Source organism: Homo sapiens, chromosome 1 (assembly GCF_000001405.40).
Source record: "Homo sapiens chromosome 1, GRCh38.p14 Primary Assembly".
NCBI classification, from domain to species: domain Eukaryota; kingdom Metazoa; phylum Chordata; class Mammalia; order Primates; family Hominidae; genus Homo; species Homo sapiens.
In genome coordinates this window covers 226,905,107-226,924,328 of record NC_000001.11, presented here as the reverse complement: position 1 = coordinate 226,924,328, position 19,222 = coordinate 226,905,107, and the positions used below count along the sequence as shown (strand labels likewise).

The 19,222-nt window shown below is 44.0% G+C and overlaps 1 long non-coding RNA gene across 2 annotated transcripts; it reads right to left on the bottom strand.

The window, feature by feature from the left end:
• On the bottom strand, positions 2,131-13,667 carry LOC107985354 (uncharacterized). 2 transcript variants are annotated; one of them, XR_001738506.2, is made up of 3 exons: positions 13,572-13,667; positions 6,669-11,026; positions 2,131-5,568 (listed from the first exon to the last, which is right to left on the bottom strand). It is a non-coding gene; the product is annotated as an uncharacterized LOC107985354 (long non-coding RNA). The 2 variants fall into 2 exon arrangements; XR_007066910.1 differs by lacking the exon at positions 13,572-13,667 and having other exon boundaries at positions 6,669-12,052.

Genomic DNA, 19,222 nt, shown 5'->3' with positions numbered 1-19,222 from the left:
GGCAGGCTGAGGTGGGAGGATCACCTGAGGTCAGGAGTTTGAGACCAGCCTGGCCAGATGAGCCAGCCCATCTCTACTACAAATATAAAAATCAGCTGGGTATGCTGGCGGGCACCTATAGTCCCAGTTACTTAGGAGGCTGAGGCAGGAGAATCACTTGAACCCAGGAGGCAGAGGTTACAGTGAGCTGGGATCATACCACTGCACTCCATCAGAGTGAGACACTGTCTCTAAATAAATAAATAAATGAAAGAATTCTGCATCCACATGGATATCCCAAGCTACTTCTTATCCAAAGTCCTTGGGACAGCGAGTGACTTGGCAAATGGGGAAACTGAATTTAACTGAAGGGCAGAGCTCTGAGATAATGGCCCTGGATCCTGAAAAGGAACACTCACGACCAAGTTCAAAGTGACATGAGTGATACTGTCCTCCCTGAGAAGCCACAGAGACCTGGGGATGCGTGTTGTCCACCAGACTGACAAGAGACCAGTGGCCTCTGCCTGCATGTGAAAGTCAGACTGGCCCTGCTCCCTCTTTGGACTGTGTAAAGCGTTGGGTTGAACACAAGGAGTTGGGGGAGCCCCACGAAGGAGATACTGAATTTCCCACTAATCAGGTAAATGGAGGCTTAAGCCAGGTTTCTTTATGGGAGAAAATAAAGACATATTCACCTTGCACCCTGACTTTATTATCCTAGTTCCTCAGGTGTTATCTGAACTCTGAGATATCTTTGTATTGGGGAAACATTTCTTGCCTTAGCAGCAACTTCTAGAACTTGTGCTCCAACTTACCTGGGCCATTTCTCCAACTCTTCCCTTGGCTTTCTGCCTCTGGGGCTTTACTCTTAAAGCTCCCCTGCCTCCCATATAATAATTAAAATCCCACTCACTCTTTAAGACCTAATTCCAGTGTTATTTGCTATGCGACACCTCTCTGATCACCTCAGAAACAATCTGTCTCTCTCCTTTACATTTACTGTACTTCGTTTTAGCATTTACATGTGTCATTTTTACATTACACCTAATAATAGTGTATTGTAGTTATTTGTCAGCTTGTCTTTTTATATCTAATAGATTGTCAACTGTGTATCTTTATATCTCTTACAGTACCTTAAACCTAGACAGTACGCTTTAAATAAAAAAAAAGTTTAAATGGCTACCAAGGTGTGGTAGACATTGGGAATGTTTATCACCCATTCTCCTCCCCATTGTGTAGTCACCATCAATTTGAGTGGCATTGGTCTCACCCAGCTCTAGGGGTGGTGCCCTCTATTAGTTTGTTCTCACGCTGCTAACCGAGACTGGGTAATTTATAAAGGAAAGAGTTTTAATGCACTCACAGTTCCACATGGCTGCAAAGGCCTCACAATTATGGTGGAAGGCCAATGAGAAGCAGTCATGTCTTACATGAGGGCAGGCAAAAGAGCTTGTGCAGAACTCCCCTTTATAAAACTATCAGATCTCAAGAGGTGAACAGTACGGGAAAGACCCGCCCCCATGATTCAGTTACCTCCCACCAGGTTCCTCCCATGACATGTGAGAATTATGGGAGCTACAATTCAAGAAGAGATTTGGGTGGGGTCTTAGTGATTAACATTGGGCTCCTTGTTACTTGTGCAAATTTCTGCAGCTGGCTTGAATTTCTCCCCAGAAAATGGGTTTTTCTTTTCTATGGAATCACCAGGCTGCAAATTTTCCGAACTTTTATGCTCTGCTTCCTCTCGATCACTTTGCCACTTAGAAATTTTTTCTGCCAGATATACCCCAGATCATTTCTCTCAAGTTCAAAGTTCCACATATCTCTATGGCAGGGACAAAATGCCACCAGCCACTTTGCATAGCAACAGTGACCTTTACTCCAGTTCCCAACACGTTCCTCATTTCCATCTGAGACCACCTCAGCCTAGATGTTACTTGTCCATATCACTATCAGCATTTTGGTCAAAGCTATTCAACAAGTCTCTAGGAAGTTCCAAGCCCTCCAAACTGTTCCAACCTCTGCCTGTTACTCAGTTCCAAAGTCGCTTCCACATTTTTGGGTATCTTTACAGCAGCACCCCACTACTGGTACCAATTTACCATATTAGTCTGTTCTCATGCTGCTACTAAAGACATACCCGAGACTGGGTAATTTATAAAGGAAAGAGGTTTAATTGATTCACAGCTCCACACGGCGTGGGAGGCCTCACAATCATGGCAGAAGGAGAATGAGGAGCAAAGTCATGTCTTACACAGTGGCAGGCAAGAGAGTTTGTGCAGAGGAACTCCCGTTTATAAAACCATCAGCTCTCATGAGACTTATTCACTGTCACAAGAACAGCATGGAAAAGACCCTCTCCATGATTCAATTACCTCCCACCAGTTCCCTCCCATGACACGTGGGATGGGAGCTACAACTCAAGATGAGATTTGGGTGGGGACACAACCAAACCATATCATGCCCCCGATATAAGTCAATCCCAATCCACTTGACAAGATGATAGGTTTTTGAATCTCAGCCAGTCAGCACATGGCACGCCCTCAATGACTGGTCCTGGGGTGGTCCAATCAGAAGGAAGCTCAGGACTTCTATGCAACGGCTGTAGGAAACAATAGCTCCTCTCTCCTTAGACGAGTTGTTGTTGGCTGAGTTGCTGTTCACAGACATCTTGCAACTGTGAATAAGCCAGCCCGAAAAGGAATCTGGCCACAACAGGGCAAGGCAGACAGAATTAGAAATGGAACTGGAGCCCTGATTAAAGCTTATTAGAAGGCTGCCCTAACACTTAACTTTTCAGCCATGTGAACTAATATGTCCTCTTCATGGCTTCTTTAAATACAAGCAAAGGCATCCTAACCAGTGCATTGGGAGTCCAGCATTATGGTCAGCATTGTGGGTTCATACATTGCACATGCACACGTGTGAACACACTTGTACACACACACACACACGACCTGAATCTTACTAGAGAGGGGAAAAACACAGACCTCCAATTCCTGGGATAGTTGCAACATTGACTTTACAAAATTGCACACTGTAAGGCTTTTGGTAACGATTACCAATGCATGAAACTAATGTCTTTGGATCATTTTTCATTGATTTCTGTATTAAAAATGATTTTGTAAGTTTAACCTGAATTCTTAAGAAAATCTCAAACTCTGGCAAGTGGCAATTAATTATAAAAAGTTTTTTCTTTAAAAAACTAATATATTGTCACCTCTTTATTAGTATTTAAAGTAATAAAACCCATTTTTATCTTAATGTGAAGTTTGTATTTTCAACATTGTCCTTAGAAGGTGAAATGAGGTTCTAATAACTGGAATACGATATTGACTTTTCTTGACTGGTTCCATGCCTTGACCTTATTTACAACTTTGTTTCAAAATTTTCCAACCTGTTTGTTTACTTGCTGCTTTGGCAAGCCTGAGTTTTTTCTCTAGAGGCCTAGCTCCTTATAAGCTTGGACTAAGTCTTGTGCCTCTTTCATAACCCATGTCCTCCCCATGCCATGCTGAGTGCAAGAGCTTACCAAGAGCTGGTGTACAGCCCATGGAAATTTCCATAGCAGCTGCTCAGCCCCAGTACCCCCTCCCCATCTGGGACCTGGCCTGCAAGTCCTACCAGCCCAAGGACACTGGGCCTGGCTCTGGGTCAGGCTCTAGGTCTATTTATGCCTTTTTATCTCAGGCTTTGTGCTTTGGCACTCTGCACTCAGGAAACCTCCTCCTGTCCTCACCAGTCAACACACAAACACACGTCCTTATCTGGACAAGAGGAGAACAGTGGGTCAGATCCACAAACTCTTTCTCCATGGCTGCCCAGATGTCCCCAGTGTCTCACCACCTTTCGTTTATTCTTCTGGTTAGAGGAGTAAGTCTTTTATGGGAACAAAGATTCAGGCCTTCTGCCATCAGACAAAATATCTTTATGACCACTGACGAACTTACTAATGAACATATTTCTCAAATGCTTCCCCTTGTTTGGAAAAAGCTATCTCCAAGGTGGTAGGAACCTCACTCCCCCAAAATGTTCCCCTGAGCTCAGCTCTTTGACAGAACCAGTCTCTGATAAACCCAACAGCCCCTGCAGGAGCTGCGGAGGGAAGAGCTGAGCCCTTGAGGGCCCAGGAGCACCTGGTACCTGAGGAGAGGGGGTGAGGAGCTACCCTGCTCACTGCACTCTCTTCCCAGGCAAGGACTGAGGACACAAGGAATAGGAGCCAGATAACCTGAGAACAGAGCAAAACATCCCTGAGGCACACTGTGTAATCTCTCTGGCCTCAGTGTTTTAAGGGGCCAAATTCCTGACCTATCTACTTAATTCCTTATTTTATTTTATGATAGTAGTAGCAGTAGTATTTTACTGGCCGTGTTTATTATGTAATTTGGATGTCAGCGGGAGCTTCCCTAGATAAGACTGGATGAAACTTCTATTCTCCACCCTTTGGAAGTCTAAATTCCTCCTCAAAAGTCTGGCCAGTTCTCAGGAGGGAGGCCAGGGCAGAAGGCGGGCAGAGACTCACATTTACAGTCATCGCTGGTTCTCAGCCTCTGCAAGTGGAGAATTCAGCTTGTGGGCTGTCTCACCATCTGTGTGCTGTCCCTGTCCAGCCTGGCACCAACCCCTCAGGGGAGTGGAGGAGATCTACTCAACAACTTCAAATGAAATATTGGACACCAGTGTTCTCAAAAGCTCTTGAGCCATCCGGTCCCATTAGGATTTTAGGCTAGCTCCCCTTACAGAGTGATCCAGCTGGCTCCTCATCTTCCCATCTCTCCTCTTTACCCCTTCCCTTTTATATTGCTTCCAGAACTCCAAATCCTTCCCCATTTATTCTGTAGAGTCATCTATTTCTCTACCATTCCTTCTGCCAAACTCAGCCATTCAAACCCACCAAGTTGCAGAGAAGGATGTTCCATTCGGCAAGATCTACCTTCATTACGTACCAGACAACTGTGGTTATGAATGGTTTTTTCTCAATTGTATTAAAATCTGAAATACAATTTCTGCCAAATTCTTGCCAAAATGACAATTCCATTTCTCAGAAAGCAGAGAAAATGATAAAGAGAAGCACCATTTTGGATCTAATTATGTACCGCTAGGGGAACCTGTTGGTCAGATGAGAGTGAGAGAAAGCTCCCTGTCATCCAGGAGCCTGGGACAGCTGGACTCTGTACCAAGAGTTAGGAAGAAGAATCCCAAGGTATTTGGAGAAAAATTACGCATGCTTGATCCCATGATCCAAGACAAAGGAAAGATAGCTCAAGCAGAAGCAACGAGGTTATAATTGCAAATGAGCCCAGAGTGGGCAAAGAGAAAACAGGTCCACAATCCAACACAACTGTCGGGGAGTGAGTGGTTCAGCAGGTGCTCCTCCTCCGCACTACTGCTCCACAAAAGCTCTGGTCTCTTCATCATGCCACTTCCAAGGTCGCCCTGGGTGTCGTCTCCACTCCATGCGGGGGTCTTAATGGCCAGGCCGGCAGAGGCACACATCACTTCTGCCCACGCTTCACTGGCTGGCCCTCAATGACATAGCCACAGCTGGCTGCAGGGGAGTCTGGGAGATGTCCCCCAGCTGTGTGCCTGGGAAGTAGAGGAGAGCATGAGTTTTGCCCAGCGCTGATATTCTCTGCCACACACTCCTGTGGTTTCCCTTATTAAAGAGAATTACGGTCAGGGTGGAAAGTTGAAGAGCACTATTGGAAAGAGAAATTGAAGCTCCAAGCACAGGAGGAGGCAGTAAGAAAGCACCCTGCTGCCTCAGAACAACTCAGGTCTTCTGACCTGTAAATGTCATATTCAAGGCTACTGAGGGAGCTCACAGATCAGGAGACTTCATTTTTAAGAAACCTTCATGAACAGAAATATTGCTGGAAGACTGACGAGGCAGGCAATGTCTTCCTGATTTTCAAAAAGGCTAAGAAATTAGAATCTAAAAAGTATATTAAGGTGAGCTTGACATTAATATGGGATGAGTGGCTAAAAGAGAGGATGAAATGGGTGGCCTTGAATATTCAGAAGGGAAAGAATTGGCCACTAAGAGCCAGCATGTGGTCCAGGATAACCTTATTTCCTCTTTCAGAAGAGTTAGCCTCAACAATGTTCATATTCTTAGTTTTAATAATACACCTTCAGGAAGTTATTTTGTACAAGAAGATATTCAGCACAGTTTTATTTGTAATAGCAAAAACTTAGATACAAGCTGAAAGTACAGCAACAGGGGAATTGCTATGCAAATTATTAACCATTGATACAGCCTTCAAGATTGTTTTCAAAGAGTATTTAATAATGTAAGAAATACTTATAAAAATTCTTAAAATTTTTAAAATATAAAGAAAATATAAAAAGCAGAAATTAAAAACAGGACTACCATATGATCCAGCAATTCCGCTACTATAATATATACACATACAAAGAAAATGAAATCAGTATGTCCAAGAGATATCGGCACTCCCACATTCATTACAGCATTATTCACAATGGCCAAAAATGGAATCAACTTAGGTGTTCATCAGTGCATGAATGGATAAAGAAACTGTGGTATATACACACAATGGAATACTATTCAGCCTTAGAAAAGAAGGAAATCCTGTCATTTCCAACAACATGGATGAACCTGGAGGCATTATATTAAGTGAAATAAGCCAGGCACAGAAAGACAGACACTGCATGATCTTACTTACACGTGGAATCTGAAAAAGTTGAACTGGTATGGGAGGCTGAGGCAGGAGAATCGCTTGAACCCGGGAGGCAGAGGCCACAGTGAGCCAAATCGCACCATTGCACTCCAGCCTGGGCAACAAGAGTGAGACGCCATCTCAGAAAAAAAACAAAAAACAAACAAACGAGAAAACACATTAAATTCGTAGAAGCGGAGTGCAGAGTGGTGGGTGCCAGGGACTGGGAGGCAAGGGTTGGAAAGGTGTTAGTAAAAGGATACAAGATTTCAGTTAGATAAGCGGGATGAGTTCAAGAGATCTATTGTACCACATGGTGTTGTGGACAAAAAGAGTCAGACTCTGTAAAATATTTGAAGAGATTTATCCTGAGCCAAATATGAGTGACCAATGACCCAAGACACAGCCCTCAGGAGACCCTCAGAACATGTCCCCAGGGTGGTCGGGGCACAACCTTCTTTATACATTTTAGAGACATGAGACATAAAAATGTAAGATATACATTGCTTCAGTCCAGAAAGGTGGGACAATTTGAAGTGAGGGGAATTCTAGGTTCTATGTAGATTTAAAACTTTTGATTGGCAATTGGTTGAAAGAGTTATTATGAATAGAAAGGAATGTCTGGATTATGATAAGGGGTTGTGGAGACCAAAGTTTGATCATGCAGGTGAAGCCTTCAGGTTGCAAGCTTCACAGAGAAGAGATTGTAAATGTTTCTTAGCGGACTTAAGGTCCTGTGTTGATGTTAAATGCTCGTCAGCTTTTCCTGAAATCCCAAAGGCAGAAGAGTATAATGAGGCATGTCCGACCCTCCTTTCCCATCATGGCCTGAACCAGTTTTTAGGCTAACTTTGGAATGCCCTAGCCAGGAGGAGGGATCCTTTCAGATGGTTGCAGGGCCTTAGAATTTTATTTTTGGTTTATGTAACTACAGTTAATAACAATTTATTGTACTGAAAATTGCTGAGTAGGTTTTAAGTGTCCTTACTACAAAAAAATGATATATATGTGAAGTAATGTGTGTGCTTATTAACTTGATTTAGCCATTCCACAGTGTAACAGCATGTTGTACATGATAAACATATATATTTTTGTCGATTAAATTTTTTTTAATTTTTTTAAATTAAAAAAAACAGGAGGTAACAGAGAAGGTATGATTTCAGTGATGTGAAAAATACCAACACAGAAAAAAAGCTGAAAGAAAAATGCTGAAATGTTAACAGTAGTTATCTCAAGATGGCAGAATTTTGGTCATTGTTAATTTCCTCTAGGTACTTTCCTGCATTTTGCCACAGTAGGTATGTATGACTTCTACAAATAGAAAAAAAAACACACCCTATTTTCTAGGAAAAAAAAATCATGAGGCTGGTAGAGCAGGGCAGTGCCACATATTTCTAGGCCATCTTGCTTTTTACAAGGCATTTGACAAAGTCCTTCACTGATACTCATATACGCTGGTGGATAAAATTGTGCACCGAGTTATTATAAACACAGGTGGTTGATAATCCTTGAATGGCCATCCCCAGTCCAGAGTTTGGACTCCAGGGACAGAAGCAGGTCCCTGTTCTACTTAATATTTTTACCTGCATTTCAGGTAAACATCTAGAGCTACGACACTGTCCAGTATGATATCTATTAGCCATATGGGATTATTTAAATTAATTAAAATTAAAGACAATTTAAAATTAAGTTCCCAGTTGCATGAGCCTAATTTCAAGTGCTCAAAACCTGCATGTGGCTAGTGGCTACCATATTGGACAGCATAGATCTGGTATATTTCCATGTTCACAGAACATTCTGTTGGAAAGTGCTGCTCTAGGGCAGGTTTATCAGTTTCACAGAGGACATGGGCTGAAGGAGAATGATCGCCACTCCCAGATGATTGTCACAGGCTGAACAACGAGCCAGACCTAAACAGATGAACTGGAACAGATGTAAGTATAGTTTCCTTTCACGTGGGCTCCAAAATACAACTGCTGATGTATAGCAGAATTGTAGGGGAAAATTAATTGGTTGGAGACAAACTCCACAAGCAGGTATAGGGTAATGCAGTTACCCAAAATAATGAGATCTCGAGCTGAACTAGTGAAGTATAATGTTCAGAACAAGGAAAGTGATAGTTCCAAGCTATATTGGTCAAACCATACTGAGAACTCAAGTGTTTTTCTTCCAGTGGTATTTTCAGAACTAGAATTGGCTATAATGAAATTGTTTAAATGGAAAGTACTATTTGCATCACTAGGAACTGCTATTGGACACAAACAGATTGTAGTTAGGAACTACCACAGTGTATGGGGGAGAAGCTGCTGTGAATAGCCCAGCTACTTGCTTTTAGTGGCTGTATACTTTGTTTACTAAATAAGGGAGACAATGAGTCATAAAAGTAATGAAAGTAGTGCTACTGGTAAGAAACAGTTAACAATGTGCTGCTATGGAGAGACAGAGAGAGAGACAGACACTACTACACTTGGGCAAAAGCCAGAGGTACTTTTATAGCTTTACAGCAATACTACTAGAGCTATAAAAGACAACTTTGTTATCAAAATTCCTGCAGGGAAAATAACTTAGTTATTGTATACATCTAAAACTTTCTTTTTTGATGGGGTCTTGCTCTGTTGCCCAGGCTGGAGTGCAGTGGTGTGATCATGGCTCACTAATAGCCTCGACCTCTTGGGCTCAAGTGACTCTCCCACCTCAGGCTCCTGAGTAGGCATGTGCCACAGGCATGTGCCACCATGCCCAACTAATTTTTTTTTTGTTGGTGGTGGTGGTGTTTGTAGAGACAGGGTCTCACTCTGTTGCCCAGGCTGGTCTCGAACTCCTGGGCTCAAGCGATCCTCCCACCTCAGCCTCCTGACCTTGTCTTTTTCCCCCTCTTAAAAAAATTTAGTTCTTATGGGTTTTGATAATGTGTCACTTCCTAAAAATGAAAATATCATACTATAAGAAAGCAGACAGAATTGTGTTGAGTTTTTTAGTCCAAATGAAATGCTGAAGTACTTGAGCAAGTCAAGAGAAAAGGGAACAGAATAAATACAATTCGAGAAACAATGACAAATAAAGGATATTTAGAATTGAAACTAAATAATACATTTCACCATATATTTATGTGCACCCTGGAGAAACAGTGTGATTGGAACTGGAATTGGATTTCAGCTCAATACAAGGAAGGACTGTCCAACAGTCAGGGGTAATGCAGTGGGCTGCGGAAACCATACAGGGAGGTGGCAAGGCTGAATTCCAGAGCCAGGCCAACCTGAGTTTGCATGCTGACGATTTCTTGGTATGTGACCTTGGCCAAGTTACTTAGTCTTCTAAGCCTATTTTTTCATCCGTAAAAGATGATAGCACTACTTCTTAGTGTTGTTATGAATAAAGTGAGATAATACATGCCTTGTGCATATCACAGTGCCTGGCATAGAGCAAACCCTCCATAAATGTTATCCAGTATTTGTTATGATTCTTAATGATGGTTAATGACTGAGCTCTGTCTACCAGCAACCTGGAAGTTAAAAAGTGATGTGTGAAGAGGGTTCTACAGTCAAATCCATTTGATAAAGGTTGGAGTAATCAAAGTTCAACAGGTTTCTTTACTCTGTGGCTTCTCTGAGGCTTTAATATACAACCCATCATATTTGGCCACAGAACCCTTTTTCATGGAGCATCTTGAGGGAAGTGAGTGTTTTGAACACACTTTGGAAAACATTGAATTACAGGACTTCTGAAATTCTTTCTGACTCTAACTTTGAAAAAGCTGTGAATTTCAAATGCAGTGATGTTTATAACTGGTGTTTATTGAGCACTTACTATGAGCCAGGTACTGAATTAAGCACTTTAGAAACCTAATGTCATATTATTCTCTCAGCAACCCTGTAATATTATGTCTGCTTTCTACAGTTGAGAAAATTGAGACTCAGAGAGGTTAAGCAGCTTGCCCGAGGTTACACAGCTAACACATGGTGGAACCAGGAGTGTTACCTTGGCTATCCTTTCAAAGCCCTGCTCCTCTTAACCAGTAGGCCACACTTTATCAGAGACTGCTGATTTTTTATGTATCATTGTGTTGACTCAACACAATGATGAATATTTGCAGGGGTAAAAACCAAAGTGAAGTTGGCATTACAGTAAGGGGGAGAGAGCACAGACCAGGAGCCGGGAGGGTCGGATTTGAACCCTTGTGTTGTGACTTCAGAGCTTATGCCCTTTCCACTGACCAGCATTTGAGCCAGCTCCTTCATGCCAGGTTGCTTTAAGATTGTTGGGAGAAGTCGTAGGAGCCGCTGGCTAACAGGATGTAGAGAGTATGTCTATGTTAAATGACTGCAGGGCTTTGCTTTCATTGCTAGAGATGTCCATGACTTGTTCTGATAAAAAATAAAAAATAAATGAGGCCTTAGTTTTGGGAAAAACTTCACATATGCCCTTTACTTCCACCTTAATCCAAGACTAGAGAAAAGGTGCCTCCTCTCCCCTTCTCACTTTACTGCATGAGAACCACGTGCTCCCGAACAGTAAGTGTTCTAGGGTGCTCACCTCTCCCTGCAGGCAATGGCAAGAAGGCCTAACCCTTCCAGGTTAAAGTTCAGGATCTAGAAGATGGAGTTCTATGCTCAGCTCTGCACAACACAGAGATAATGTTCATTCACCAAACATGTCAACCCTATGATGTGCTCAGGCTCTGGCTGGGGCCTCTCTCCTGGCCCCTGGGAGGGAGAGAACAGGAGGCCTGAGCCTCCCACAGAACAAGGACCTGGTTTATCGTCTTTGCTTCTCCAGTACCACCAGCCAGGGACTCGGTAGGAACTGGATGCTGAAGGCTGACCTGGTGAACACCTGTGCTTGAGGCCCCCGCAAGGGCTCAGGGCGGAATCGGCTGCCCTCATGTGGCCACCCTGGAGTGGAGCTAACAGGAGAAATTCAAGGCAAATGGAGGAGTCCCTGGAGACGCGAAAGGGACGTGGCTGAAGGACAGCAGAAGTGTAAAGCCACCAGAAGAAAGCCGCAGCCTTCCGGAGGGACAGTGGTCCTCAAACGTTTTGGTCTCAGGACCCCTTTAAACTTGTAAAACTTACTGAGGACTGCAAAGACCTTTTGTTATGTGGGTTAGCTCTATCCTGTTGAGAAATTACAACTGAGAATTTTATTTATGTATCAACTTTTTAAAAAATAACAAAAATAAACATTTCATTTTAACATAAATAAGTTTTTTGAAAATAGCTATATTTTTACAAACCAAAAACCTTTCATGAAGACTGGCATTTGTTTACATTTTTGCAATTCTCTTTACTAGAATAAAAAGAATATCTTAATAGAAGAGAGCTGGATTCGGCCAGGCACAGTGGCTCACGCCTGTAATCCCAGCACTTTGGGAGGCCCAGGTGGGTGGATCACCTGAGGTCAGAAGTTCAAGACCAGCCTGGCCAACATGGCAAAACCCCGTCTCTATTAAAAACACAAAAATTAGCCAGGCATGGTGGCGGGCACCTGTAATCCTAGCTACTTGGGAGGCTGAGGCAGAGAGAATTGCTGAAAACCCAGGAGGTGAGGTCGGGCACGGTGGCTCACATCGGTAATCCCACCACTTTGGGAGGCCAAGGCTGGCAGATCACCTGAAGTCAGGAGTTCAAGACCAGCCTGACCAACATGGTGAAACCCCATCTCTACTAAAACTACACAATTAGCCAGGTGTGGTGGCGCGTGCCTGTAATTCCAGCTACTCTGGTGGCTGAGGCAGGAGAATTGCTTGAACCCAGGAGGCAGAAGTTGCAGTGAGCTGAGATCGCACCACTGCACTCCAGCCTGGGCAATAGAGCAAAACTCTGTCTCCACAAAAAAAAAAAAAAGAAGAAGAAGAAGAAGACAGCTGGATTCTCCGACCTGCTTTTGGAGTCAATCCCTTGTGATATCACATATCGTATCATGCAGCTTCTGGACAACTCCTGTGTACACTTGTAATAGAAGGAGAATGGTAAGGTAATGTAGTTTTATTACAAAATAGTTTTGACTTCATGGGCCCCCAGGACCACACTTTGAGAAGCACGGCTGTAGAGTTTAAGCTAAGAACTAACTCTGGCTCAGGGTCCTCCTCCAGCAGCTCATCTGATCCTTGGGCAGTGACGAGCCCAAGGCAGACGGCCCCAGGCAGGGAGGCTGCGCCAGACCACCAAGAGGTCGATGCCCACCTGCAACCTGGTGAAGGAACACTGTATTCCTGCCCTCCCACCCACCCTCACTATGTTCAAGCTGAGTGGCACTGCCAGTGGCCTTTGCTCCAGACTTCCCAGCAGAAATGGTAAAGCCCTCCAACTTTTTCTTTTTTTTTCTTTTTTTGAGACGGAGTCTCCATCTGTTACCCAGGCTGGAGTGCAGTGGCATGATCTCAGCTCACTGCAACCTCTGCCTCCCGGGTTCAAGCAATTCTCCAGCCTCAGCCTCCTGAGTAGCTGGGATTACAGGTGCACACCACCACACCTGGCTAATTTTTGTATTTTTAGTACAGACGGCATTTCACCATGTTGGCCAGGCTGGTCTCGAACTCCTGACCTCAGATGATCCACCTACCTTGGCCTCCTAAAGTGCTGGCCATGAGCCACCGCTTCTGGCCCAAGTTTTTCCTTTTATTTAATACATTTAATACAGCTGCACTTTGGACACGAGGCAGAAAAATTAGGTAAGAATACTGGCTGAGCCAGGGTTTCCTTGCCAGGGACAAGATGTTTAAAACTCTTTCCAGGCTGGGGGAGGCAGAAGTGCAAGAGGAGATCAACAGAATGAAGTGCTGGCAATGGGTCTCTGGGAAGAGTCCGGGGGTCTGTAGTCTCCCTCTAAGGGGGTGGTAGAATCCAAGATAATAGAAGGGATGTGCCCCCTCCTGCCTGGGACCCTGACTGTCAGGGGTCCTTGACCTACCATGACACAGGTGCTCAAGAGCGAAGATGGCCAGGCATGGTGGCACATGCCTGTAATCCCAGCTACTCGAGAGGCTGAGACTGGAGAATTGCTGGAACTCAGGAGGTGGAAGTTGCAGTGAACCAAGATTGCACCACACATTTCTCCAAAGAAGATATATACGAATGGTCTAAAAGCATATGAAAAGATGCTCAACTTAAACCTCATGAAACCACAATGAGATACCACCTCACACCTATTAGGATTGCCACTATCAAAAAAAACCAGAAAATAACAAATGTTGGCAAGGATGTGGGGAAATTGGAATCCTTGTACACTGTTGGGGGGAAGGTAAGATGACGTAGCCACTGTAAAGAAACAGCATGGTGGTTTCTCAAAAAATTAAATCTTATGACCCAGAAATCTCATACATCTAAATTGAAAGCAGGATCTCAAAGATATTAGCTCACCCATGTTTAGAACAGCATTATCCACAATAGCCAAGAGGTACAAGCAACCCAAATGTCCACTGATGGAGGATTAGATGAACAAAATATGGTATAAACATACAATGGAATATTGTTCCGCCTTAAAAACGAAGGAAGTCCTGTCACATGCTACAACATGCGTGAAGCTTGAGGACATTATGCATTATGCTAAGTGAAATAGGGCCAGTCACAAAAAGACAAATACTGTATGATTCCACTTACATGAGGTATCTAGAGTAGTCAAACTAATAGAAAGAGAAAATAGAATTGTGGTTGCCAGGGGCTTGTGGGGGTTGCAGGGGAGAATGGGAAGTTGTTCAATGGGTGTAGGATTTCATATTACAAGATGAAAAAGTTCTGGAGATCTGTTTCACAACAATATGAATATACTTAACACTATTATCTGTACACTTAAAAATGGTTACAATGGTAAATTTTATGCTATGTGTTTACCACAATCAACAATTTTTTTAGGGCTGGGCATGGTGGCTCATACCTGTAGTCCCAGAACTTTGGGAGGCCAAGGTGGGAGGATTACTTCAGGCCAGGAGTTCAAATCTAGCCTGGGCAATACAGCAAGACCCCGTCTCTACAAAAAATAAAAATAAAAAATTAGCCTGGCACGGTGGTGTGCACCTGTAGTTCCAGCTACTCAAGAGGCTAAGGTGGAAGGATTGCTTGAGCCTGGGAGGCCAAGGCTGCAGTAGGCCGAGATCACGCCACTGCACTCCACCCTGGGTGAGAGAATGAGACCTTATCTATAAAATAAAAGAAGTTTTCTTTTAAAGAAAAGAAACCAAAATAGAAACGTGGCAATCAAGGGACCACATGTGCCCCCCGGCAACCCTATCCTCTATGTCCTGATATTACAGAGGCCACAGGCTCCCTCACCCTCGGTACTACTCCAGGGAGAAGAGGACAGTGTAAACAACAGAATCTAGCAGGCATTAAGCTTATATATGCTAGCAATAGACAAAATGGACCTTAAGTTACAGAAACATAAGAAAGTTATTGTATCAAACACTGTTAGTTGTCTGTCTGGAGCCTTCTCTGCTCCTCTCCCATTCTTTTCTTTCTAATGGAAAGTGGATGGAACTCTGATTTCATTCTGGCATCCACTCTCCCCCTTGAGACTCAGGGTTACATTCTGATGGGTCCAGGCTGGCCACAACTATCCCACACCCATTGCCAGTGATTGGCTTAGGCATGGGGATGTGACACAGTTCTGGCCAATGAGATTCAGGGAGAAATCTGCCCAGGGGCTCCTAAGAATGGTTTTCATTGACCTTAAAAAAATGACACAGGAAGAGTCTCTCTCCTCTCTCTCCCCCTGCACTTGGCTTTATGTAAGTGAGAATGCGGGAGAGGAAAGAATGCCAGAGAGGAAAATGGAAAGAATGGAAAAAAAAAAATCAAAGATGGAATTGAACTGCTGGATAAATCAAACCCAGAGCCACCCTACTCCACTTCTTGTCAGTGAGAAAATAAACTGACAAAGTCAGGTGGAGACCCTATTAACACAAGGCCTACCTCAGTTTAACCAATATCACCCCCTAAGGCTTCAGGTCCTTGCAGCCAGAAGCGTCCGGTTGTTCTGTTTTTCGCACCTGACACCTGTCTGCAGGCATGCCCCGCTCCATCCTGCAGTGTCGCCATCTGGAGTCGGGTGCTCTCTTGGAGTCGCCACGCACAGATGCCTCTGGCCAGCTCCACTCTGCCATTTGTTTTGCCAACACAGCCCTCTTGGGTCTGTCTTGTGGTTCTGGAAACTAAAAATTATTTCAGCGAATCAGACTTCAAGCCCCTTGAGAACTGAGTCTTTTCATTTCTGTATCTCCACATTGCCTGGAATACACCAAAGTGGGTCATACGTTCCCCGGCATGAAGAAGTGAATTTCCTCCCAAGCTCAGAGCATATCCCTGGAAGATTACATCTGTGGTGACTGCTGGCTGAGCCCCCTAAGCCCCTCTGCCCTACCCTCAAGGCACATGGTGCTGAGCCTGGGACAGTCGGCTGAAGGTCCTATAGCTGGGGCTGAGCGGGGAGCTCAGCAGGTGCTCCAGGGCCCACCTTCCACATGCCAAGAGTTCTGTGTTCTTTGCCCGGCACCATATTCTGCTCCACTCCTCCATTCCCTGCAGTAATCAGCTAATAGCTTGAGTGGCCTTGTCATAGCTCTTAAAAACTATTATAAGACTATTTGGATAATCTTTACTACTCTCCAAATCCCTAGTTTGGGAATCATGAATGTGTTTTAAACCCTTCACTTTATAAATATGAGAAACAGGCCCACAGAAGTGAACTGACCAGATGGTTATGGCTATTGATAGCAGAATATAACTTAGCTTTCTAGACACCAAATTCCCACACATTTTATTATGTTTCTCTTTTGTTTTGCTAGGAAACTGTCACTATAAGGGACTATCACACACACGCACGCACGCACACACACACATACTTTAGAAAGATACATTTTCTTTTTTTTGAGACAGAGTCTCATGTTGTCTCCCTGGCCTGAGTGCAGTGGCGCCATCTCTGCTCACTGCAACCTCCACTCCCTGGGTTCAAGTGATTTTCCTGCCTCAGCTTCCCAAGTAGCTGGGATTACAGGTGTCCATCACCATGCCCGACTAATTTTTTTTTTTTGAGAGTCTCGCTCTGTTGCCAGGAGTGCAGTGGTGCAATCTCAGCTTGCTGCAACCTCTGCCTCCCAGGTTCCAGCAATTCTCCTGCCTCAGCCTCCTGAGTAGCTGGGACTACAGAAGCACACCACCACACCCAGCTAATTTTTGTATTTTTAGTACAGATGGGGTTTCACCATGTTGACCGGGATGGTCCCAATCTCCTGACCTTGTGATCCACCACCTTGGCTTCCCAAAGTGTTGGGATTATCGGCATGAGCCACCGTGCCTGGCCACAGCTAATTTTTGTATTTTCAGTAGAGATGGGGTTTCACCATGTTGGCCAGGCTGGTCTCAAACTCCTGAGCTCAGGTGATCCGTCCGCCTCGGCCTTCTAAAGTGCTGGGATTACAGGCATGAGCCACTGCACCTGGCCGGAAGATACATTTTCTTAGCTGAATGAGATGGTAATTAGTAGAGGGTGACATTGGCTAAACTGGGGCATGTCCTGTTTCAATTTGGTCCCCCAGCAGCAGAGCTGAACAGGAACTGAGTGCAGGCAGTTCCCATGCACCACAGAGAACACCGAAGAGGGGTGAGAGGACATGGCCTGGGATCAGGCTTCCCTCATGAGGCCAGCAGGCAAGGGAATGAATATTTACTGGATAATACTTTAACCCACCACCAGACTGACATCTGCCAAGGAAAGTAACTCCAGACACCTAGTCTAGTTCTTCATTCATAAATGTGAACAGTCAAGCAAGGATCATCAGCCATTTTCAAAGAGTTATATAAGAAATAAAAGGACCTAAGATGAACAGATAAACAAAAAGGCTAAAGAAAACTGAGACAATTAATCAAATAGAAAACCTTTCAAGAATTACTCGTTTCTCAGTAAGAGCTGAGAAGATATTGCCTCCATCAAAAATAACAGCTATGAGAGAGGAGCAAGTAAAGATCATGAGTTTTTGGAAATTAAAAAAAAAACAAACAAGATTGTCAAAAAATAAAATCTAAAAAGGCTAGAAGAAAAATCCTAGCATACAGAGCAGGGAAAAGACAAAGGGATGGAGAGTAGGAGACAACACTGAAGAGACACTAAAAAACAAGTTCTGAGATCTGACACCAGTCTTGAGGGAATCTCAAAAAGAGAAAACAGAGAAAATAAATAAGGGGAGAAAATTTCCAAGATCTGAATAAAGACTCAAATATTCAGATTTCAAGGCACAGGGAATGGTGAGCAAGATGGATGAGTAAGAATCAAATCCACATCCCTGACTCTGTGAGTTCTCTGTGAATAGTCACTATTTCAGAGTTGGACTGACCTGATCAAAGGTTCTGGGGGCTCTTGGGGGCGAGGTTACATCATAGTATGTGGCCACCTGCCTCCTATTGGCTCCTTTTCCTTCTATATCAAGTGGAGGCCAAATCCCTCCCCAAGTATTATCATACAGAGACATTCAGCTCCCCTTGCTTAACCAGACCCTGTGCTTAGTAGAAGAAAAGCCACCAAACAGGACCCTTTTAAAAAGCGAGAGTTATAAATAGAAAAATATATTTAACAGGTGCGTAATAATCTTGTGTTTCCCTAAGGCAGTCTAAGTGGCTTTCTGCTCCTTCTAATCCAATGAAGGCAGGCAGATTTGGTACCAGCAGTGGGGATGCACAGAACATACCCTCAGAAGGAATATGTAAGTGACTATGGCACCATGTCCTTTTGTGGGAGGGGGTGAGTGATCACCGTCCCATGCAGGGGTGAAAGTTCATGGTTTGTGATGATGCAGTGTCTGAGAAAACCACCACCTGTGACTCAGGGATGGAGACGCTATTCCCACCAAGGATGAAGCTTTGGAGAACTCTGTTGCCATTGCTTAAGATGCATCCCAAGATAATGAGGAATGCAATGAGGAACGAATGGCTGCATTGCTACAAGAGAAAAGGGATGAATTCTGCTCCCAGCTTATTTACCTGGAAACAGATGTGAAATTATTGCAATATCCAGCTACAAGAAACACTTTCTTCTCCTTACATCCCCTAGCCTCAAAATCTTGTTCCAATACAAAGCAGTGTATCTATTCATTTAATTTTCTGATACATGCCCTTAGGGCTTCACCTTTTACTTGATGCTTCTCATCAAGATGTTTTCTTAAATAAATACAGCTTTTTTTTTTTTTGAGATGGAGTTTCATTATTGTCACCCAGGCTGGAGTGCAATGGTGTGATCTCAGCTCACTGCAACCTCCACCTCCCGGGTTCAAGCGATTCTCCTGCCTCAGCCTCCCTAGTAGCTGGGATTACAGGCATGTGCCACCATGCCCGGCTAATTTTTGTATTTTTAGTAGAGACAGGGTTTCACCATGTTGACCAGGCTGGTCTCGAACTCCTGACCTCAGGTGATCCATCCACCTTGGCCTCCCAAAGTGCTGGGATTACAGGCGTGAGCCACTGCGCCCAGCAGTAGCTCCCTTTCTAAGAAGAATTCTGGAGAAACTACTTAGACAAGCTTTTTGGGGGTGTTAAACACTGGAGGAGCAGATTTGGGGTGTTGGTGGGAGAGAAGAA